The sequence below is a fragment of the Homo sapiens genome, chromosome 14 (genome assembly GCF_000001405.40).
Source record: "Homo sapiens chromosome 14, GRCh38.p14 Primary Assembly".
Classification (NCBI taxonomy): Eukaryota; Metazoa; Chordata; class Mammalia; order Primates; family Hominidae; genus Homo; species Homo sapiens.
In genome coordinates this window covers 48,408,705-48,434,973 of record NC_000014.9, presented here as the reverse complement: position 1 = coordinate 48,434,973, position 26,269 = coordinate 48,408,705, and the positions used below count along the sequence as shown (strand labels likewise).

General features: G+C 36.9%; 1 long non-coding RNA gene across 1 annotated transcript in view; it reads left to right on the top strand.

Annotated features, from left to right (window-relative positions):
- LOC105378178 (uncharacterized) overlaps positions 1 to 26,269 on the top strand; it is an 894,025-nt gene that overhangs the window by 853,050 nt on the left and 14,706 nt on the right. The window contains exons 6-7 of the long non-coding RNA XR_007064152.1: positions 5,731 to 5,788; positions 7,450 to 7,510. This is a non-coding gene — a long non-coding RNA (uncharacterized LOC105378178). The remainder of the gene's footprint in view (positions 1 to 5,730; positions 5,789 to 7,449; positions 7,511 to 26,269) is intronic.

Below are 26,269 nucleotides of genomic sequence, written 5' to 3'. Positions count from 1 at the left end.
AGTACTCAGAGAGGTTAAAAGTAAGAAGTTAGAAAAAGATATGCCAATCATATTCTAAGAAAAGGAAAATTGTATAGCTATATTTGTGTCAGATAAAAGAGACAGTAAACCAAGAATCACTACCAGAAAAAACAGAGGCATTTAATAACAAACTGATTAATTCATCAGGGAGATATAATGTTTCTAAATTTGTAATTGTTGTCTTGATATATTTCCAAGTACTTGAATCACACAGTATGAGTTGACTCAAATGCAATTACATTAGAAATAATTAAGGTGGAAACAATAGCAAACATCTACATTTAGGGGGATATTAGAAAACACTACTAAATAGCCTATGATTAAAAATATAAAAAAATGAAATGCATGATAATAAAAATATGACATTTTAAAAGAGGATAAACAGGAAGTCGTAACTAGAGAAATACTAATATAGTCTTAACTACATGTATTAAAAATATGAAAAGCTGAAAATCAATAATAAGTCCAATTTTGAAAAGGAAGTTTAAGTTAAGCCCAAAGGAAATAGAAAGGAAATAATAAAGAAAAAAAAATCCCACAGAAAACAATGGCGTATATGGTGAGACTATAATAGAAAAAATCAACAAAATAGTTGTTATTTGAACAGACTGAAAATAGGCTAGGCAAAATTTATCAATGAAAAAACTGAATCAGGAAAAAAGGAATGCTAATGTCATAAAAGATAATAGTAATATATTTTAACTTACTTCATGATAATGAATTTGAAGTTTTAGGAACATTAAACAATTAACCAATTCAAATTGATATATAAACATCTCGTAGTTGATGTAGTTGCTCTAATTTACTGCTGATTTTTTTTCTTCAAATTTAAGGTCAGATTAATACCAATCTCACAAAAGCTCTGCCAGGGAAAAGAGAAAAAAATGTCCCAACTCGCCTTATAATTTCAACTTATTTTTGATATTAAGGCCTTTACAGACTTTAGAAGTAAAGAAAACTACAAAACTATCTTCTTTGCTGACTCAAAAGCCCTACATCAGTATTACAAAATTAAATATAGTTATATGTATAAGAAAAGGGGGAAAGAAAATGGGGAGTAGCGAGAGGAATCATATAGAAAAATACTAATAGCTAAATTATTAATTTTAAAAACCTTTAGTAAAACAAAATAGATCTTCCTTCAGCTGATAACTATTAAAATGTATGTGAATTTGTCTACATAACTTGGTACAAAATCAATATGCAAAAGTCAGTCCCTGAAAGACAGAACTAATAAAAGACTTTTTGAAATTGATGTAAATTATAGTCACATCATAAAAAAGTTAACACTTTTAAATAAATCTATGAATGATGTGGAGGTTTCCTATAAGCAAAACTATGAAGCATTACTAATGCATTTTGAAGTCTAAATATTAATATATAGATATATCATGTTTATGGGTTGTAATATTCAATAATGTGTGAAAATTTGGTGTGATTCTCTGATATAATGCATGTGATGTTATTTTGTGGAAATTGAGAAGATGATTCTAGAATTGATATAGAAATGGAAAGACCAAGCATACTCATCATGATCCTAAAATATGTAAAATCTAATTTAGAGAATATATATGAACATATATCAAAACTCATTAAAAATGTACAGAAATTAAGAAAGTATATTAATGGAAAAAGGATAGACAAATCATCAGTGAAAGAGAGTAGAATAAAAAAATCCTTGCATATAGGGATGCTTGATTTAGAAAGAGACTGGAATTATGGCATAAAGAATATAAGTTTTGTTTTGCATTGCTTTGAATAAATGACACTGAGTCAATTGAAACCCATACTAACAGCTAAATTATTAATTTAGCTTTTAGTGTTTTTCTATATGATTCCTCTCTCTACTCCCCATTTTCTTTCCCCCTCTTCTTATACATATAACTATTTTTAATTTTCTAATATTGATGTAGGGCTTTTGAGTCAGCAAAAGAGATAGTTTTGTAATGAACCTTAACCAGACTCTGATATGGCAAATATGTTGGGATTATCAGACTGAGAATACAAAACAACTATCATTAATATACCATGGGCTCTAATGGAATACGTAGACAACAGGCAAGAACAGACAGGCAATGTTGGTTACATCTTTTAATATGTTGTGAGCTAAAACTCACAACATACCAAAAAGAAAAAAAAAATCCAAATGGATTGTGGATTGAATGAAGAATGCCCTAAATGATTACACAGTAGAAAAAAAATTTTAACCAAACAAAATAAATCATTTTGTAAGCTGGGCACAAAAAGCATCATTTGCCATAAAAGAAAATATTGAAAAATTGAACTCAGAGAAAATAAGAATTTTCCTTTATCGAAGTATACTTTATGGCTGGGTGCAGTAACACATACCTGTATTCCCAGCACTCAAGAGGCTGAGGCAGGAGATCATTTGAGCCCAGGAATTCAAGGCTGTAGTGTGTAGTGATTGCACCTGTAAATAGCTACTACTGCACTCTCCAGCCTGGGCTACATAAGGAGACCCTGTCTCTTAAAAAACAACAACAAAAAAAGAGTGTGTGTGTTTGCGTGTGTGTGCATGCACATGCATACTTTAAGAGATTGAAAGTACAATCCACAAGATTAGAAATATTGTTTGCAATACACATAACTAACAAATACCTTGTATTTATAATAAAATACTTTTACAAATTTACAAGCTAATGACAAAAATCTCTATATAGAGCTCAAGTGTCTGTGGGGGTCGTGGGGTCTCCTGCTGCCAGAATTCCAGAGGTCTATGGCAGGAATATGTTTCTCCTTGCCTGTTCAACTCATCCCTTTCCCAGGAGTCGTTGGAAGCCAGGATTGATTTCCAGTGTACAGGGTTCCCAGCTTCCTCCTGTTTGGGCTCAGTGTTTCCTCTGTGTCCTCCCTCAGTCTCCTCTCAATCTTCCCTCCAAGATCTGCTGGGAGTGGGCCAGACTTCCCATGTCCCTGACTGTCAGCAGCAGATGTTCCTCCTCTAGACCACCATCTTGAATCCAGATTCACTCCACTCTCTTCTTGCTGCAATATCTCTGAGAAGGTGGATGTAATTTTACCTTTGCTCCTGCATAAGTGAAGTGTTTTCTCTCTGTATCTCTGGCTCATTTCAAGGTTTTTTTGTTTTTTTGTTTTTTTTATTCCTGCAGTTCAGATATGACATGCTGATACAATGACAGAGGCAGGAGGCAGAGAAATTCTAGGCAGACAGGGGCGGGTGTCTGGCAAAACCCCACCTTTGAGCCGAAAAGCCTGAAACCCATGGCCCAAAGTGAGAACTTCCGTCCCTGTGTGCCCACTCTCTTCCAATTGATTCTTCTGAATAATGTCTTTCTACCAATCGAATGTTGCCTTTTTCCAAAACTACCTACAGCCCACCCCATTCCATCCTGTGCCTATAAAGACTTCAGACTCAGCTGGCAGAAAGGAGAAAGAGCTGGATGTCAGGGAGAAGAAACTTGACCTCAGAGAGGGTGGCTGGATGTCAGAAAGAGGCAAGTTGGCTTTGGAAGCGAGAGGCAGAGAGGTGACTTAACTTCAGGGGAGAGTGATCTGCCCTTCCCGCCCCCTTCCAGCTCCCCTCTCCACTGAGAGCCACTCTCGTCACTTAATTAAATTCTCCATATTCACTAACCTTTAATCTGTCTGTGTACCCTCATTCCTCTTGGGCACTGGACAAGAATTCAGGATGCACTAAGTACAGTACCCAAAAAGGCTGTCACATTGGCCCTTTGCCCTCGCTGGAGGAGGGCAGCCACCCCACGCAACAAGGTAAAGAGCCCACTGAGCTAACACACACTGCTTTTTGCAGATAGAAGACCTAAGAGAGCATTGTAACATACCCTCTGGGGTCTTGGGGTCACAGGCACCCCCACCTGGATGCTGCTGAAGGGCCTGCACAAAGTGCTCTCCTCTCAGTGCTAAAGCGGTCAGGTTCCTGCACTGGCTTACCTGTGTGCTCCCTCCCATGAGGGGTGGAGCCTAGCTTGCCCAACTGAGAGGAGTTTCCTCCTGCCAGCACCTAAGCAGCCCTCTAGTTCCCGAGCTCATTTGCTCCAGTTCTCACACTTGTTTGCTCCCATGCCCCTTCCCACGAAGGACACCCCTGTTGCAAGCCCCTTGAAGGGATCAAGAAAATATCCTGGCTGGGCGCAGTGGCTCACGCCTGTAATCCCAGCACTTTGGGAGAACGAGGCGGGCGGATCTTGAGGTCAGGAGTTCGAGACCAGCCTTGCAAATATGGTGAAACTCCGTCTCTACTGTAAATACAAACAGACTAGCCGGGTGTGGTGGTGCATGCCTGTAATCCCATCTACTCAGGAGGTGGAGGCAAGAGAATCGCTTGAACCCAGAAAGTGGAGGTTGCAGTGAGCAGAGATTGCACCACTGCACTCCAGCCTGGGCAATAGAGGGAGACTCCATCTTAAAATAAATAAATAAATAAAAAAAATCCTGCATCAATGCCTGGGTGCAGTTTGGGGGTTTGTTGGTTGGTTTTGCATTTATATTGCTTAATGTTCTCTGAGCTTCTTGGATTTGTGGTTTGGTGCCTGACAAAAGTAAAAAGTAAGGTTTATTGCAAAAAGTAATGTGGGGAAATTCTCAGTCATTATTGCTTCTGTTGGGGGACCGAGGTGGGCAGATCAGTTGAGCTCAGGAGTTGGGGAACAGCCTGGGAAACATGGCAAAACCCTGTCTCTACAAAAAATTAGCTGGGGTGTGGTGGTGTGCATCTGTAGTCACAGCTACTTGGGAGGCTGAGGTGGGAGAACTGCTTGAGCCTGAGAGGTGGATGTTGCAGTGAGATGAGATCATACCACTGCAATCCTGCCTGGGTGACAGAATGAGACCCTGTCTTAAAAATATATATATATATATATATATATATAAAATATATTATATATTTATTATATATGTGTATATTTTATATATAATATATATTATATATAAAATATATATATATACTTTTTGGAACTTTAGGGGTAGGGAGGAGTCTTCTTAAGCTTTGGGGCTATCTACTGACATATTCTCAAACTCAGAGATTCTTTCCTTAGCCGTGCCCAGTCTACTAATAAGCTCATCAAAGGCACTCTTCATTTTTGTTACAATTTTTTAAAATCTCAGCATCTGTTTGTAATTTGTTTTTATTATTTTTATCTCTCTGCTTACCTTGTTTATCTGTTGTCTACTTGTTCCATTAAAGCCCACAGTATATTAATCATAGTTGTTTTTATATTCTCAATCTGATAATTCCAACATGCCTGTCATATCAGAGTCTGGTTCTCATGCTTTATCTGTCGATTCCAGCTGTGTTTTGTTTTTTTTGTTGTTGGTTTTTTGCCCTTTAGTATACTTTTTTTTGTTATTAAATCTACACATGATATGTTAGGGAAAAAGAACGCTGGTAAATAAGCCTTTAGTGGTATGGTGGTACAGTGTAAGGGGAAGGGAAGCCTTTAATAGTCCTGTGACTAATTCTGAGTTTTTAAGTGAGCCTGTGCTCCCAGCTGTGAATTTCAGAAAGCCTTCTTCATTTTTTTCATCTCTATTTGGGACTGGTTGGGTTGAGGGGGATAGAGTTGCATGCTTCCTTTCTTCCAGGTTGGTTAAACTCTGGTAGCACATCAGTAGGTTAGAGTATGCTAAAATGGTTTTTGTTGAAGAAAAGCCCTTTGAAAAAGAATGCTTGATTTAAATGTGGTTACTTTTTCTCTCCTCCTCCTGCAGAAGCCGTAGGGGATTGTTCTCCAGTCTTGACTTTGAGAACTTGGTAGAGCTCCTGAAGGTAACACTTATTTTTTTTCTTCTTTTTTTTTTTTTAGTCAGAGTCTTGATGTGTCGTCAGGCTGGGTGCAGTGGCACGATCTCGGCTCACTGCAACCTCCGCCTCCTGGGTTCAAGTGATTCTCCTGCCTCAGCCTCCCCAGTAGCTGGGATTACAGGTGTGCGCCACCATGCCCAGATAATATTTTGTATTTTTAGTAGCGATAGGGTTTCACCATGTTGGCCAGGATGGTCTCGATCTCTTGACCTTGTGATCCACCCACCTTGGCCTCCCAAAGTGCTGGGATTACAGGTGTGAGCCACTGCACCCAGCCAGTAAAACTTTTTTATAAGTATGTGCAGGTCCCACTACAACTGGCTCCCCTGCAGTTTTTAACCATCAGATTTGTCTGCACTGAGCCTCTAGGAATTGTCAGTTACAGTTTTGTTTTCCTATGTCAGTACTGGTTCCCATGGAGATTTTTGCTAATGAATTTCTGCTGATTCTTAATGCCCATCTTATGATTCTCTGTGTCCATCTGTTTCTCCAATTTTGGGGGCACCAATTTTCCCTATGACCTGAGTTTTCTGATGAATCTAAGAAGGGTAGTCAGTTTTTCAGCTTGTTTCAAGTTTTTACTTATTGTTAGCATAGAACGTTACCTTCCAGTCTCCTTACATGCCAGACAGCAATGGGAAGTCCATTTTTTTTGAATACAGTTGAAGTCCTGTGTGCCAGGAGAAATATCAGTGCAAAAAATTTGCTCTGTATTTTCCTTCCATGTTCGTTTCCCTTTTTTTAAATAAATGGTGAATTGATTGCTATTTATAACTAAATAGGTTATCAAGATTTGATAATCATTTCAGAAAGCTTAAGGAAATAGAATGATAGGTGGAAGGAATTTAAAGGACACCATAAGTTTCCCTTTCCCTTTTGAGCCATTAAATGGAGAACATTTATAGGCACTGAGAGCCATTTGGGGCCAGGGATAGAGGCAGGTACCTTCGGTAGAAATTAAGAAATATTTTTAAAGGATTCCTAATATAATTGTTGCAAGGGCTGGAGGTAAAAATAGGTCCTTGTATGTGTTACTAGACATGACATGACAGTCACATGGCTTAATATGCAATTCCTTACTATAAGAAAGTGATGTGAGTGAGTTATTAATCCTTACCTAAGTACTCAGCATTAAGTGGCATATAGTGTACACTAGATTATCTATATTTAACAAGATTTTAGAAGTTCTGACTCTTCTTACAAACTTTTGTATTTTATTAGGTTTCTAGTTTCATGCATTAGCACAGATTTTGTCATGGATTTGGTATACTGAGAAAAGAATTTCCTATCATTGGGAAAAATGCATTAGCTTTATTGAAATATGATTGTAATGTGGAACCACAGGGAAAAAAACTACCTTAAATGGTCTAATGGAGTTTTACGATGTACTATAATTACAGTGACTTACCTCTTTAGTGATATAGGCAAAATTGTATAGGAGATATGTATTCATTTAAACAAGCTTTGGAATAGCATAGTAATAATTTAAAGTTTTATTAATTTTTGTCATATCTGTGTTAACTCGCAATGCCTTATTTTTGCTTCTATTTGTTTTATTTATCCAGTACTTATAACAATTCACTTTTTTTTTCTTTGTTAAAATTCACCCACAATTGCCTTCAAAGGCTCACCTGATAAGAGATGTATGTCACAATCTGCTCACCCTGGCATTTCTCTAAATAGAAGGTAAAGTTTGTATACTCTTTTTTTCTCTCCTGAGTCAGTGATTTATCTCTTCAAGGGCAAAAGTACATTTACTAAAGTGCTGAATTAAATTAAATATTATTATTGACTTATTCCAAGAAAGGAAATGTGCCCCAGTTTAAAAGTAATAAGAAATATTTCACACCTATATACAACTTTTAAATTCTTGTCTAAGAGTTTTATATATAACAGCCTGCATCATAGTTCAAAGTACTGGGATGTTCAATTTGGATTTAAAATATACATATTAAAGATATGTATCTATATCTATGGTCTTCTATTACACTTGAGTTTTAAGAGAAATTTTAAATTATATTTTAAACATTCTAGCCTATTCATTATATGTAATGAGTATTCTTTTATTTTCTAAATCTTTCAACGTAATTATTGTGTCTTCATACAAAGAATTAAACTATTACAAATTATATTTCTTATAATTTGAAATTATTGACATATACATAAAGGTATGTATATTTGATATGTATGCATGAGGGTGTATGTGTATGAATGTATGATTTCATCGATATATTTTATTTCCTTGGTTTTGGGACTTTTTCATGCAAATTTACTTTATCATAGTAATATTTCCCTCAAAGTTATTTAAAACTATGTAATAATTATCTGCTATGAGTTACAGGACATGTTGGATTTTTTTTTTTTTTACAAAAGGTAGATCATTTTAAAATACTTACATGACTGTTTATATTATTCTTACATTAAGCTTTATTTTCAGATTACGTTTACTATTCTACAGTGCTATATTTATAGTCTATAAAGGTACTAAGCTATTTATGTATTTACAGTTCTTCCCAATGGAAAATTTTTTATTATAGAAATAGTATATCATTATTGTCTTTTTATATGTTAGTAATTAATTATATCAAAATAACTGGTAGAATCTTATAAATTACCTTAGGGTATAATCAGAATTGCAAAAATATGGTTTATACCGAAGTAAACATCAATGTTTGATGACCAACACATTGAAAATTACATTTCAAAATAACAAGATAAGATGAAAAAGTTTACTTTTTTTCGTGTCTAATTATTTTAAACAGGTCTTTACTATTAAGTTTGTTTTTTATTTCTAAAAAGAACCCAGTATGAAATGTAGACAGAAACAAATCTTAAGAGAAATTATACTCAAGTAGATATTTGCCTTGTATCCAAAATGTCTTATCAGACAGATTTTAAAATGTGTGGTTTATACTAATTTGTGCTTATAAATTGGAATGATTAGAAACTAATCAATATGAGGTCATTTTAACAGAAAAGCAACAAATAATAATAATGTAAGTGATTTACAATGCCTAAAACACTCATTTTCAAATGAAGAAAATCAAGGACAGACCTAAAATTTATTTATAAATAATAACTATCTGTTCCATAGTTTATATCATCTATAATGTGATTAGCAATGCAGTGGAAATATATTTAGCCACATCACATTGTAATGTCTTACAAGAAGTAGTGCATTGGACGTGAATTCATCAATGTATTCTGTAATATAATATTTAGTTTTAAGACTTACAGGCTTTTTTGAATTGTGTGCTCAGTGGTATTAAGTGGTACACGCAGTAAGAAATGAACACCCTATTTTGAAAGCTCCTCATGAGTTATGCACATAAGGGTTAGTATTCCTGAACAGGTACTATGTTTGTTATAGTGTTAATAAAAAAATCTGAATTCTGTTGAATCCACACGGTAAGTTGACTTATGGCAAATCTGTACAATTAGTTGATTTAAGTAATTCATTTGCTTATGTAGTAACTTCAATCTAATCTATAGAACAACACATCTTTATACAAACAGAGTTAGGAAATCAGAGTAAGGAAAGACCAATCGGAACTGTGCAGTTTCTTCCTTTGATCATCACAAAGTTTAAGATTGGATTATACAGGGATTATGTCCTTATGATAATCTCTTCGGTTTATATTAATGGGCAATTAATGGTAAATGTGACTTTTTTTGATTAATTGGAGTACGCCTATTAGTATATCTTCTTCTCAGAGATTTATGTCAACCCCTTTTGCTGAACTTAGCCTGTAAACCCTAAGAAGTTCAGGTTAAGCTTTAGATTTTCTTTGCATCTCACTTTCTTTCTTCACCATCAACCTTTCACTTCCTTCATGATCTCATCCACGCCCATGACAGTTCTTACTGCCCATATACCAATGAATCCTGCATATGTATCTCAGCTATAATACTGCCACATATATATTTTTATAATTCAAGACTTCTTTGACTACTTCCCCTCCCTTACCCCTACATATGTTTCTAATGTGCCTGTTAAGTTTATTTTCTAAATCTCTTATATTCATTTCTTTTCCTTGAGCTCCACTACTACAGTTCTAATGCAAACAACCATTCATCTTTTCTTTGAACTGAGGAATTACCTCCTGGTTATTTTTTATTATGGTAAGAACACTTACATAAAATTCACCTTCTTAACTATTTTTAAGTGCAAGTTCAGTAATGTTACCTATATTTACATTGTGAAACAAATCTCCAGAGCCTTTCCATCTTGTAAATCTGACACTGTACTCGTTAAACAACTCCTTTTTTCTCTCTCCTCACCGTTCCTGGTAACCACCACTCTACTTTATGTTTTTATGAATTTGACTACTTTAGATACCTTATCTAAGGTGAATCATACAGTATTTGTCTTTTTCTGTCTGACTGATTTCACTTAGCATAATGTACTCCATGGCTCATCGCTGTTATAGCATGTGAAACATTTCTTTTTAAGGCTGAATAATCTGTTACATGAATGTATCACATTTTATTTATTTATCCATGTATCTGTGGATGAATATTTGGGTTGCTTGTACTTCTTGACTATTGTAAATAGGGCTGGCATTTAATGTGTGAACACAAATATGTTCTTGAGACCCTGCTTCCATTCTTTTGGATATATGCTCAGAAGTAGAATTGTCAGATAATATGGTAGTTGTATTTTTAATTTTCTGAGGAACCTCCATACTATTTTCCATAGCCGTTACACTATTTCACAACCACAGCTAAAGTGCCCAAGGGTTCCCATTTCTCCACATGCTTTCCAGCATTCGTTACATTTTGTTTTTGGATGAAATACACCCTAACCAGTGTCAGTTAATATGGCATTGTGGTTTTGATTTGTATGTCTTGGTGACTGGTGACTCTGAGCATCTTGTTTTATGCTCACTGGTCATTTGCATATCATCTTTGGAGAAATGTCTATTCAAATCCATTGCTCATTTTTTAATTAGGTAATTTGACTTTGTCATTGTTGTTGTTTAGTTGTAGGAGTTCTTAATATGCTCTAGATATTAGCCCCTTATCACATACATAGTTCACAAGCATTTTTCCATTCTTTAGGTTGCCTTTCGCTCTGCTGATTGTGTCCTTTTACCTAACTCATTTTTAGTAGCTTCTTTTGTACACCCAGTTCATTCTCCATACTCTTTACTGAAAAATAATTATGAAGCCTAAATATAATCCTGTAATTTCACAACTTAATATTCATTTGTGCCTTCCCAAGTCTCTAAGGATAATATTTAAAATAATTAAAATTGTGCTAGATAATCTGGTATCTACCTACCTCAGCAATAATTTTACACATCCGCCCCACCTCTCACTTCACACCACACTTGTTTTCATGTACTTCCTTTCATGAACCAGATTCCTCTCTGTCTTAGGTCCCTTGCCTATTTTGCTCATTCTGTATTGCTTTTCTCCTTTTTCTTTGAAAAGTAAACTTGTATTGTTTTTGAGCCTCAGATTAAATGTCACTTAATCGGGGAAGTCTTTCTTGACTCACCAGCCTAGGACAAGTTTCTTTTTATATAATATGAATGCTCTAAACTCATTTGCGGTATTTATCAACATTATAATGGAATAATCCTTTAAATTATGCAAATATTTATTTTATGTTACTCACCTCAACTAGAATGTAAGATACGTAAAGAACTGGTCACTCCTATTCACCATCGTGTCTCTAAGTCTAGCAAAGTTCCTTGCCCATTTAAGTGATCAATAAATGCTTTTGAAATGAATAAAATAACAAATGAAGGAATAAATTAGTATCTGATCTCTATCTCACCAGCCAATGAGGTCAGTTTAAGAAATATGGTGCTTGGTCCTGGAATTGGGGATGTTATATTCTAGAAGTAAGAGACCAGGTAAAACTCAACATGTATTTAGAGCAAGGCTAACATTTAAAAAACTGACAGGATCTTAGAAAAAACTGACAGGATCTTAGGAAATCCCTATGAACAAAATTGAAGGGAGGTTTGCTTGAGTTTACTGGCCTTGAGACACACCCAGGATAGGTGGATGGCATAGAATGGAAAGCATATTTTCAAGGGGAATAAATGTTAACACCATCAAATTCACGGCCAAAAGTAAGGACATAACTATTCATATTTTTTCATATTTTATATACCTTTCAGTTATCACAACTGTACATCACTTTATTATGTTTTTTTCTATAATATCCACATTATTTGTATTATTATTTGTATTATTTTGCAACAGGTATTACTCATAAATTTAGGAATGTATTACAAGTAAGGTATGCAGAGTGAAACAATTTAGAATACTTTACTGGACTAAAAGAATCTCACTAATTTTAATTAGTGGTCTAGTGTTCCAACTAGGAATGTATGCAAATGTCTGTCAGAAACCATCTCTCCCTGTGACCAGGAAACAAGGCTATTTGCTCTCTTCATATACACTGGAATCTAATCATAGAACATTATTTACTGCTCTGATCTTAGCAGCAATCTTCTGCTAAATATTTTGCAGTCATTTACATCAGGAAAATGAAGACATTAATTTCAAATGGCAGTTTTACTTTTTGGTTGTGACTCTTTTTTTATTACTCGAATGTAGGACATAATTTTCATAAATAACTTGAAAGAACAAATTTAATACTCTTTTCTAGATGGTATTTAACACACTGTTTTACATGAAAAGATATTTGTTCTATTTCATAAAGATGTCTTTTACCCTTCGAAATGCCAGCATCTGACAGTTGTGAACTCTTTACTTTGTCGAATAATCTCTAACTGTGGGAAAATACCAAGAGTATTCGAGTGATTGACCTTTAAACAAGTCTTTCCTTCTATTGGAATTTTAAAATCTCTGTGGCTGAATTCGACAAAGGATTATTTTTCTATTATATATTATCATAAAAATAATACTTATTTTATAAATTATCAAGTCATATTACATTCTGTCTGTATGAAAATATCAGACGAAATTGTAATACCTTGAATGTCCTGACAGTTTCATTATCACTTCGTCATCATGCAGGTATCATGGGGTTTCTTCCTTACCCACAGTGCTTTGGTGGGAATGGAAACTTTTTCTGTGGGAAAGGTAACTTGTTCAATATTAGTTGTATGTAAAATCAAATTCACCATATTCTACGCCTTACATTTCTTTTGTTTTCTCCACAATGCCTATTAAGTATGTATCCTTTTAGGCAAATCAATTTTCTTCTCTGTGTCCCAGGTTCCTTGTTAGTAGAATGAAGAGTTTTGAATAACAGCCTATTAAGCTTCCTTCCACTACTGTCACTCTGTGTTATGGATCTCAGTGGGGGTGATATTGGCCCCAAGAGTGTGAAAATTCTTTCCTTAGGAGGTGGCATCTTAGCTATTACAATAGTTTGTGGCCCTCCAAGGGCTGCCATGCATAAACAAATATACAATAAATCTGTAGTATTAAAATTCTACGGAAGGAAGGAAGCGATTAGAAAAAGTGTGTCCAGAAAACTCCTTAGGAAGTTATAACTTTTTAAAAAGTTGAGAAATACTGCTCTATGTGTTCATAAGCCTCATGTTGTGGACCCTGGCAAAATCATTTTTACAACCCTTTTTCTGCTGATGTCATATAATCATTATGTGGGTCACATATATAGGCAGGGTGATTAGTTTCCATCCAATGTTTGCTTGCAGGTAGACATTGCTTTTGTCTTTCAGGTCACATTATCTGATTTATGAGGTATGATTTAAAGATAGAACAAAAAATTGAGCATGATTTGAGTACTACCTCAATAACTATTGAAGGTCAGTTTCTTCCACTTTTAAATATTCGACACAAATTATAGAAATACAATGAATGCTGTTTCTTGTCATCCTTGAATCCAGCATTTTGAAAAAAAATTAAGCAGATGTTTTTTATCACAGAACATTGTCTAATGTCCATTTTCTGTTTAGTAGGCAAGATAAAGAAAATAGAAAGCAAATCACATATAGCAAGTGACTCAGAATAATAACAGACCTGTCATCAAAATGTAGAGTTTTTACAAAGACTTAAAGAGACTCTACTCTTGAAGATTTTATACTTTAAACCATAGAAGCAGGTTAAATACTCAAATAACAAAGTTATTATCCCAAGAGCCTAGAATAGAGTGGACAAGCCATTACTGGCTGCAAACTATAACAACTTTCAGATTCGCATGCCAACTATTACTTTTCCAACTCTGCTGGAAGCCCTAATTATAGCACTCACAGGGCCTTGCTGAGGTTTACTGACCAAATGGCGATTTCCAACATGAACCAATTCATCAGTGTTTAATATAGGTAACCTGTTTTAAACCACAGACTAACTAATACAATGTTTGTTTAAGGTATGGTTAATTAAATAATTAATTTGATTTCCCATTACACTGTGATTATATTATGCATACATACACACTCATTATAGGTACAAAAAACACAATACAAATACATAATGAGTGTAATAGCTCAACGATGTATATGTCCTAATTTTCTGAACTTGTGAATATGTTATATTACATGGCAAAGGGCAATAAAGATTTCAGATGAAATTGAGGTTGCTAATTAACTGACCTTAAAATAGATTATCCTGGATTAGCCAGGGGGCCCACAGTAAACACGAGTGTCCATATATAAGAAAGAGGGAGACAGAAAATTCAGAAATTAAGAGATAGCATCATGAGAAAGAGTAACTTGGCCATTGCTGACTTTGAAGATAAAAAGGCACCACAAACCAAGGGCTGAGGGAACCTGCTAGGAACTAGAAAAGGTAAGAAAACTGATTCTACCCTAGAGTCTGCTATGTTATTTCACTCCCACAGTACAATCAAGAAATACCTGAGACTGTGTAATTTATTTATAAAATAAACAAAGGTTTAATTGGCTCATGGCTCTGCAGCCTGTACAGGAAGCATGATGCTGACATCTGCTAGGCTTCTGGGAAGGCCTCAGGAAACTTATAATCATGGCAGAAGGCAAAGGGGGAAGAGGCATGTCACATGGCCAAAACAGGGGCAAGAGAGAGTAAGGGCAGTGGTGCTACGCGGCATACTTTGAGATGGTGAGATCTCATGAGAACTCACTACCATGCGGACAGTACCAAGAGGGATGGTGCCAAGTCTTTCATGAGGGATCCATTCCCATGATCCAATCAATCACCTCCCACCAGGTCCCACCTCCAACACTGGGTGTATTTGTCTGTTCTCACACTGCTAATAAAGACATATCCAAGACTGGGAAATTTATAAAGATAAGAGGTTTAATTGACTCACAGTTCAACATGGGTGGGGAGGCCTCACAATTATGGCAGGAGGAGGAACAAAGTCACATCTTGCATGGTGGTAGGCAAAAGAGCATATGCAGGGGAGCTCCCCTTTATAAAACCATCAGACCTCTGGAGGCTTATTCAGTATCACAAGAACAGCATGACAAAGTCCTGCCCCCATGATTTAATCACCTCCCACTGGTTCCCTCCCATGACACATGGGAATTACAAGAACTACAATTCAAGATGAGATTTGGGTGGGGACACAGCCAAACCATATCACTGGGGATTACATTGCAATATGAGATTTGGTTGCGGACACACCTCCAAACTAAACTATATCACCTGCTTAAAGGAAAGTGTCCCTACCAATACATTGATTTTAGCCCAGAGAGACAATTTCAAATTTCTGAGCTGCAGAAATAAGATAATAACTTTGTTTTGTGTTAAGCCACTAAGTTTGTGGTAATTTGTCAAGCATCAATAGGAAACTAATACAATGAAATAAATATTAATTGACTATCAGTGTACTACTAAGGACATGAATTGTAAAAGTATCAGAAATCATACTTATGTATTTAAAAACATTACTTCTATAAAGAGATATTACAGTAAAGTCATTCAAATGTTTCCAGAAGTAGCCTGCATGGTTTTAAGCCCCAGCTCCACCACATTCTAGAAGGGTAATCCTAGCAAGTTGCTTAATATCTATCTGTGGCTCCATTTTCCCATCTTAAAAATGGATGAAGTAATAATTGTACCTCAAAAGTTAGAGTAAATAAATACAGATAATACTATAATCCACAGTACATGGCACAGAGTAAATCTAATGCATATCTTTCCTATTACTTTTTATTTTTATTTGTAATTTGTACAATTATTATTATTCCAAAAGATAGCATTATAGCATCTATCTCAGTTTTTGTATGATATATAGCCAGCATATTTCTTTTGTCTTCAGTGTTATATCTCAAAGAGCTGGAATGAAGTGTTTTTTGCCCTTGATTATTTAAATGGATTGATAGAAGAAGATTTACTAAGAGGTATCTTGTAATTATCTTTCCATAGGTGAAGTATGAACTATCTTAGGCATCCCTCTTCTATGGCTGGGCATGTACGTGCTTTGACTCACTAATAGTATCTTCAACATGCATTTTGTACATCAAATAAATATAAGAAACTTGATAATTTTTTAAACCACTTGTGGGTATTTCAATCACAAATTAGCTCAAGATGGCTGATGAGAGCCACCCAGCTCCTTCCACCTTCACAAGAGTGGACCAAAACAGCAAGTAGATAAAGCACATCTAAGAAGACTAATGGAATCCAGCAGGAAAACTACAGGTATACATACATACATACAGGAAAACCCTCTGAGGCATAGAAACTTAAGATGACAGTATTCAGAGGGAAGTGAAGCAGCTAGCCAGAACAGTTTGAAGCTAAGAGAAATTTCTCATTTTGGGTAAAAGTTAAGTGAGAGAGTCCTAGCAGTCCACATTTCTACCACAGATGCCTGCAATTCTAACTAAAGGAAAGCCCCTTGGCCTTCACAGGCAGGGAACCTATTATAGGGAGCTGCCTGGAATTTATGCGGCTGCATTTTTCCAGGAAGGGAATCTTCCCCAGGCCCCACCCCTGGGCTGCAAGCCACTGCATCAATCCACCATTTTGACAATGGAGCCAGGACTGAACCACAACCTGCCCTGGGGTCCAATAGCTGCTGCATCTCCACATCACTAGGCTTCCACCAATACACCCTGACATCTGCACAAAGAGCTGCAGCATCATGATGGTGGCTAGACCTAGTGGTGTGGATGTCACTGGCACTCATACTTATGCTGCTCTCTACACCCAGGAATAGGTGGTCCAGCACATCAAGGAGGTTGCCCCAAGAACACAGGGAGCAGAAGTGTCAGCTTCCCAGAGCCTGAGAACAGGCTGCCTGAGGCCACTGCCCACCTCAAGCAGTGAGACGCTATGACCCATGTGCCCCATCAGGAGCCAAGGACCAGCCCACCCATCCTGCTGTGGACACCACCGGCACCTGTGCATCCTGACTGGGGCCCAAAGACTAGCCCACTTGAGCCACATCACTGCCTCTGCCAGTGCATGCACATGCCATCCAGGAGCCTAACGACTTGCCCATCTTGCAACCCCATCCCCAGCAAAGCCTCACCAGAGGGTCTACAAATAGCCTATGCCACTAAGGAATTTGTACACCATGCTGATGTTAAGTATAGCCAAAGTTATCATACAGAGACTATAATATAGTGCTGCTGTATTAGCCTGTTCTTGCGTTGCTATAAAGAAATGCCTGAGGCTGGGTAATCTGTAAAAAAAAAAAAAAAAAAGCGATTTACTGTGGCTCACAATTCCGTAGCCTGTACAGGAAGTGTGGTGCCAGCTTCTGGCATCTGCTTCTGGTGAGGTCCTCAGGAAGTTTACAATCATGAAGGAAAGCAACAGGGAGCCAGGATGTCAAATGGCAAGAATGGGAGCAAGAGAGAGAAGGGGGAGGTGCTATGCACTTTAAAAGAATCAGTTTTTTTTGTGAAATCAGAGCAAAAACTCACTCATTACCAAGGAGATGGCACCAAGACATTAATGAGGGAACTTCCCCCATGATTCAATACCTCCCACCAGGCCCCACCTCCACCATTGAGTTACACATTTGAACATGAGATTTGGAGACAACACATATCCAAACTATATCAGGTACCCATTTAGAGCCAAAGCAAAAGCACCCTATCCAATGAACATTATAGATGCATCTACAGGAAAAACATCCTTCACATAGAAGCTACTTGATAAAATTGGAAGAGGTGCAAGTTACAACTGATGTGTACATAACAACGTAAGCACAAAATAAATATGAAAAAGAAAGGAAACATGACACCTCCAAAGGAACACAATAACCCTCCAGTAAAAGATGCCAAAGAAAAGGAAATCTATGAAATGCTTGAAATTTAAAATAATGATCATAAGAAAACTCAGTGAGATACAAGAGAACACCATTTTATCAGTGATGGAAAACGAAATGAATGAAATGAAGTGAAAAGTGAAGTTTAGAGAAAAAAGAATAAAAACAAACAAACAAAGCCTCCAAGAAATATGGAACTATGTGAAAAGACCAAATCTATGTCTGATTGGTGTACCTGAAAGTGACAGGGAGAATGGAACCAAGTAGGAAAACACTCTGCAGGATATTAACCAGGAGAACTTCCCCAATCTAGCAAGGCAGACCAACATTCAGATTCAGGAAATACAGAGAACGCCACAAAGATACTCCTCCAGAAGAGCAACTCCAAGACACATAATTGTCAGATTCACCAAAGTTGAAATGGAGGAAAAAACGTTAAGGGCAGCCAGAGCGAAAGGTCGGGTTACCCACAAAGGGAAGCCCATCAGATTAACTGGGGATCTCTCAGCAGAAACTCTACAAGCCAGAAGAGAGTGGGGGCCAATATTCAACATTCTTAAAGAAAAGAAGTTTCAACCCAGAATTTCATACCCAGCCAAACTAAACTTCATAAATGAAGGAGCAATAAAATCCTTTACAGACAAGCAAATGCTGAGAGATTTTGTCACCACCAGGCCTGCCCTAAAAGAGCTCCTGAAGGAAGCACTAAACATGGAAAGGAACAACTGGTACCAGCCACTGGAAAAACATGCCAAAATGTAAAGACCATCGAGACTAGGAAGAAACTGCATCAACTAATGAGCAAAATAACCAGCTAACATCATAATGACAGGACCAAATACACACATAACAATATTAACTTTAAATGTAAATGGGCTAAAAGCTCCAATTAAAAGACATAGACTGGCAATTTGGATGAAGAGTCAAGACCCATCAGTGTGCTGTATTCAGAAAACCCATCTCACGTGCAGAGACACACACAGGCTCAAAATAAAGGGATGGAGGAAGATCTACCAAGCAAATGGAAAACAAAAAAAGGCAGGGGTTGCAATCCTAGTCTCTGATAAAACAGACTTTAAACCAACAAAGATCAAAAGAGGCAAAGAAGGTCATTACATAATGGTAAAGGGATCAGTTCAACAAGAAGAGCTAACTATCCTAAATACATATGCACCCAATACAGGAGCACCCAGATTCATAAAGCAAGTCCTTAGTGACCTACAAAGAGACTTAGACTCCCACACAATAATAATGGGAGACTTTAACACACGACCATCAACATTAGACAGAAAGTTAACATGGATACCCAGGAATTGAACTCAGCTCTACACCAAGCGGACCTAATAGACATCTACAGAACTCTCCACCCCAAATCAACAGAATATACATTTTTTGCAGCACCACACCACACCTATTCCAAAATTGACCACATAGTTGGAAGTAAAGCACTCCTCAGCAAATGTAAAAGAACAGGAATGATAACAAACTGTCTCTCAGACCACAGTGCAATCAAACTAGAACTCAGGACTAAGAAACTCACTCAAAACCACTCAACTACATGGAAACTGAACAACCTGCTCCTGAATGACTACTGGGTACATAACAAAATGAAGGCAGAAATAAAGATGTTCTTTGAAACCAACGAGAACAAAGACACAACATACCAGAATCTCTGGGACACATTCAAAGCAGTGTGTAGAGGGAAATTTACAGCACTAAATGTCCACAAGAGAAAGCAGGAAAGATCCAAAATTGACATCCTAACATCACAATTAAAAGAACTAGAGAAGCAAGAGCAAACACATTCAAAAGCTAGCAGAAGGCAAGAAATAACTAAAATCAGAGCAGAACTGAAGGAAATAGAGACACAAAAAACCCTTCAAAAAATTAATGAATCCAGGAGCTGGTTTTTTGGAAAGATCAACAAAATTGATAGACTGCTAGCAAGACTAATAAAGAAGAAAAGACTTTAATCCATCTTGAATTGATTTTTGTATAAGGTGTAAGGAAGGGATCCAGTTTCAGCTTTCTACATATGGCTAGCCAGTTTTCCCAGCACCATTTATTAAATAGGGAATCCTTTCCCCATTGCTTGTTTTTCTCAGGTTTGTCAAAGATCAGATAGTTGTAGATATGTGGCGTTATTTCTGAAGGCTCTGTTCTGTTCCATTGATCTATATCTCTGTTTTGGTACCAGTACCATGCTGTTTTGGTTACAGTAGCCTTGTAGTATAGTTTGAAGTCAGGTAGCGTGATGCCTCCAGCTTTGTTCTTTTGGCTTAGGATTGACTTGGTGATGCGGGCTCTTTTTTGGTTCCATATGAACTTTAAAATAGTTTTTTCCAATTCTGTGAAGAAAGTCATTGGTAGCTTGATGGGGATGGCATTGAATCTGTAAATTACCTTGGGCAGTATGGCCATTTTCACAATATTTATTCTTCCTACCCATGAGCATGAAATGATCTTCCATTTGTTTGTAACCTCTTTTATTTCATTGAGCAGTGGTTTGTAGTTCTCCTTGAAGAGGTCCTTCACATCCCTTGTAAGTTGGATTCCTAGGTATTCTATTCTCTTTGAAGCAATTGTGAATGGGAGTTCACTCATGATTTGGCTCTCTGTTTGTCTGTTATTGGTGTACAAGAATGCTTGTGATTTTTGTACATTGATTATGTATCCTGAGACTTTGCTGAAGTTGCTTATCAGCTTAAGGAGATTTTGGGCTGAGACAATGGGGTTTTCTAGATATACAATCATGTCATCTGCAAACAGGGACAATTTGACTTCCTCTTTTCCTAATTGAATACCCTTTATTTCCTTCTCCTGCCTAATTGCCCTGGCCAGAACTTCCAACACTATGTTGAATAGGAGTGGTGAGAGAGGGCATCCTTGTCTTGTGCAAGTTTTCAAAGGGAATGCTTCCAGATTTTGCCCATTCAGTATGATATTGGCTGTGGGTTTGTCATAGATACCTCTTATTATTTTGAAATACATCCCATCAGTACCTAATTTATTGAGAGTTTTTAGCATGAAGGGTTGTTGAATTTTGTCAAAGGACTTTTCTGCATCTATTGAGATAATCATGTTGTTTTTGTCTTTGGTTCTGTTTATATGCTGGATTACATTTATTGATTTGCATATATTGAACCAGCCTTGCATCCCAGGGATGAAGCCCACATGATCATGGTGGATAAGCTTTTTGATGTGCTGCTGGATTCGGTTTGCCAGTATTTTATTGAGGATTTTTGCCTCAATGTTCATCAAGGATATTGGTCTAAAATTCTCTTTTTGGGTTGTGTCTCTGCCCGGCTTTCGTTTCAGGATGATGCTGGCCTCAAAAAATGAGTTAAGGAGGATTCCCTCTTTTTTCTATTGATTGGAATAGTTTCAGAAGGAATGGTAGCAGTTCCTCCTTGTACCTCTGGTAGAATTCAGCTGTGAATCCATCTGGTCCTGGACTCTTTTTGGTTGGTAAGCTATTGATTATTGCCACAATTTCAAATGTTAGACCTAAAACCATAAAAACCCTAGAAGAAAACCTAGGCATTACCATTCAGGACATAGGCATGGGCAAGGACTTCATGTCTAAAACACCAAAAGCAATGGCAACAAAAGACAAAATTGACAAATGGGATCTAATTAAACTAAAGAGCTCCTGCACAGCAAAAGAAACTACCATCAGAGTGAACAGGCAACCTACAAAATGGGAGAACATTTCTGAGAAAGGGCTAATATCCAGAATCTACAATGAACTCAAACAAATTTACAAGAAAAAAACAAACAACCCCATCAAAAAGTGGGCGAAGGACATGAACAGACACTTCTCAAAAGAAGACATTTATGCAGCCAAAAAACACATGAAAAAATGCTCACCATCACTGGCCATCAGAGAAATGCAAATGAAAACACAGTGAGATACCATCTCACACCAGTTAGAATGGTGATCATTAAAAAGTCAGGAAACAACAGGTGCTGGAGAGGATGTGGAGAAATAGGAACACTTTTACACTGTTGGTGTGACTGTAAACTAGTTCAACCATTGTGTAAGGCAGTGTGGCAATTCCTCAGGGATCTAGAACTAGAAATACCATTTGAACCAGCCATCCCGTTACTGGGTATCTACCCAAAGGACTATAAATCATGCTGCTATAAAGACGCATGCACACGTATGTTTATTGCAGCACTATTCACAATAGCAAAGACTACGAACCAACCCAAATGTCCAACAATGATAGACTGGATTAAGAAAATGTGGCACATATACACCATGGAATACTATGCAGCCATAAAAAATCATGAGTTCATGTCCTTTGTAGGGACATGGATGAAATTGGAAATCATCATTCTCAGTAAACTATCGCAAGAACAAAAAACCAGACACTGCCTATTCTCACTCATACGTGGGAATTGAACAATGAGAACACATGGACCCAGGAAGGGGAACATCACACTCTGGGGACTGTCGTGGGGTTGGGGGAGGGGGGAGGGAGGGCACTGAGAGATATACTTAATGCAAGATGACGAGTTAGTGGGTGCAGCGCACCAGCATGGCACGTGTATACATATATAACTAACCTGCACATTGTGCACATGCACCCTAAAACTTAAAGTATAATAATAATAAGAAAAAGAAGAAAAGAAAGAAGGATCAAATAGACACAATAAAAAATGATAAAGGGGATATCACCTCTGATCCCACAGAAATACAAACTACCATCAGAGAATACTACAAACACCTCTATGCAAATAAACTAGAAAATCCAGAAGAAATGGATAAATTCCTCGACACATACACCCTCCCAAGACTAAAGCAGGAAGAAGTTGAATCTCTGAATAGACCAATAACAGGCTCTGAAATTGAGGCAATAATTAATAGCTTACCAACCAAAAAAGTCCAGGACCAGATGGATTCACAGCCAAATTCTACCAGAGGTACAAGGAGGAGCCGGTACCATTCCTTCTGAAACTATTCCAATCAATAGAAAAAGAGGGAATCCTCCCTAACTCATTTTATGAGGCCAGCGTCATCCTGATACCAAAGTCTGGCAGAGACACAACCAAAAAAGAGAATTTTAGACCAATATCCTTGATGAACATTGAGGCAAAAATCCTCAATAAAATACTGGCAAACCGAATCCAGCAGCACATCAAAAAGCTTATCCACCATGATCAAGTGGGCTTCATCCTTGGGATGCAAGCCTGGTTCAACATATACAAATCAATAAATGTAATCCAGCATATATACAGAACCAAAGACAAAAACCACATGATTATCTCAATAGATGCAGAAAAGGCCTTTGACAAAATTCAACAACCCTTCATGCTAAAAACTCTCAATAAATTAGGTATTGATGGGACGTATTTCAAAATAATAAGAGGTATCTACGACAAACCCACAGCCAATATCATACTGAATGGGCAAAATCTGGAAGCATTCCCTTTGAAGACTGGCACAAGACAGGGATGCCCTCTCTCACCACTCCTATTCAACATAGTGTTGGAAGTTCTGGCCAGGGCAATCAGGCAGGAGAAGGAAATAAAGGGTATTCAATTAGGAAAAGAGGAAGTCAAATTGTCCCTGTTTGCAGATGACATGATTGTATATCTAGAAAACCCCATCATCTCAGCAGAAAATCTCATTAAGCTGATGAGCAACTTCAGCAATTCTCAGGATACAAAATCAATGTACAAAAATCACAAGCATTCTTATACACCAATAACAGACAAACAGAGAGCCAAATCATGAGTGAACTCCCATTCACAATTGCTTCAAAGAGAATAGAATACCTAGGAATCCAACTTACAAGGGATGTGAAGGACCTCTTCAAGGAGAACTACAAACCACTGCTCAATGAAATAAAAGAGGATACAAACAAATGGAAGAACATTCCATGCTCATGGGTAGGAAGAATAAATATTGTGAAAATGGCCATACTGCCCAAGGTAATGTATAGATTCAATGTCATCCCCATCAAGCTACCAATGACTTTCTTCACAGAATTGGAAACAACTACTTTAAAGTTCATATGGAACCAAAAAAGAGCCCGCATCACTAAGTCAATCCTAAGCCAAAAGAACAAAGCTGGAGGCATCACGCTACCTGACTTCAAACTATACTGCAAGGCTACAGTAACCAAAACAGCATAGTACTGGTACCAAAACAGAGACATAGATCAGTGGAACAGAACAGAGCCCTCAGAAATAATGCCGCATATCTGTAACCGTCTGATCTTTGAGAAACCTGACAAAAACAAGAAATGTGGAAAGGATTCCCTATTTAATAAATGGTGCTGGGAAAACTGGCTAGCCATATGTAGAAAGCTGAAACTGGAGCCCTTCCTTACACCTTATACAAAAGTTAATTCAAGATGGATTAAAGACTTGTATGTTGGACCTAAAACCATAAAAAACCTAGAAGAAAACCTAGGCAATACCATTCAGGACATATGCATGGGGAAGGACTTCATGTCTAAAACACCAAAAGCAATGGCAACAAAAGCCAAAATTGACAAATGGGATCTAATTAAACTAAAGAGCTCCTGCACAGCAAAAGAAACTACCATCAGAGTGAACAGGCAACCTAACAAATGGGAGAAAATTTTTGCAACCTACTCATCTGACAAAGGGCTAATATCCAGAATCTACAATGAACTCAAACAAATTTACAAGAAAAAAAACCTCATCAAAATGTGGGCAAAGGATATGAACAGACACTTCTCAAAAAAAAACATTGATGCAGCCAAAAAACACATGAAAAAATGCTCAGCATCACTGGCCATCAGAGAAACGCAAATCAAAACCACAGTGAGATACCATCTCATACCAGTTAGAATGGCAATCATTAAAATGTCAGGAAACAACAGGTGCTGGAGAGGATGTGGAGAAATAGAAACACTTTTACACTGTTGGTGGGACTGTAAACTAGTTCAACCTTGTGGAAGTCAGTGTGGCGATTCCTCGGGGATCTAGAACTAGAAATACCATTTGACCCAGCCATCCCATTACTGAGTATATACCCAAAGGATTATAAATCATGCTGCTATAAAGACGCATGCACACGTATGTTTATTGCGGCACTATTCACAATAGCAAAGACTTGGAATCAAGCCAAATGTCCAACAATGATAGACTGGATGAAGAAAATGTGGCACATATACACCATGGAATACTATGCAGGCATAAAAAATGAAGAGTTCATGTCCTTTGTAGGGACATGGATGAAGCTGGAAACCATCATTCTCAGCAAACTATCGCAAGGACAAAAAAACCAAACTGCATGTTCTCACTCATAGGTGGGAATTGAACAATGAGAACAAATGGGCACAGGAAGGGGAACATCACACTCCGGGGCCTTTTGTGGGGTGGGGGGAGGTGGGAGGGATAGCATTAGGAGATATACCTAATGCTAAATGACGAGTTAATGGGTGCAGCACACCAACATGGCACATGTATAATATGTAACAAACCTGCACATTGTGCACATGTACCCTAAAACTTAAAGTATAATAATAAAACCATTAAGCAATGAAAGAAATCAGAAAAAAAATTATCTGAATGAAAATTTAACAAAGAGATAGATAACAAAAAGATAGAGTTGATATTCAAGATTTAAATAATCTTGAAACTGAAGGTTTCATTGAATAAAATACAATAAACATAATCAAGAGCTTCAATAATAGATCAATCAGAAGAAAGAAATTCTGAGCTTAGACAAGTATTCTGAAATAACTCAGACAAAAAAAAAGAATGAAGAAAGCCTACATGATATATGTGACATCATCAAGCCAGCACCTAATTGGATTTCCAGAAGAAGAGAAAGAAAAAGGTATAGAAAACCTATTTAATAAAACAACTAAAAGCTTCCCAACTCTTAGAAGAGATATAGATATTCAATATAAGAAGTTCAAAAATTCCCCAGTAGATTTTTCTCAAAAAGTTTCTCTCTGAGGCACATTTTTATCAAATGGTAAAAATCTAAGAGAAGGAATTCTAAAAAGATCAAGAGAAAAGCAACATGTCACATATAGGAGAATCGCCATAGACTAACAGCAGATTTCTCTTCATTAAAAATTATAAAACACTGATAAAAATAAATTAAAGAGGACACCAAAAAATCAAATGGTAATCCATGTTTATTGTTTGGAAGAATCAATATTGTTAACATATCTATGCTACCTAAAGCAATCTACAGATTTAATGCAATCTTTATAAAATATCAGTTATATTTTTCACAGAAATGGAAAACACAATCCTAAAATTGGTATAGAACCACAAAAGACCCCAATCCTCAG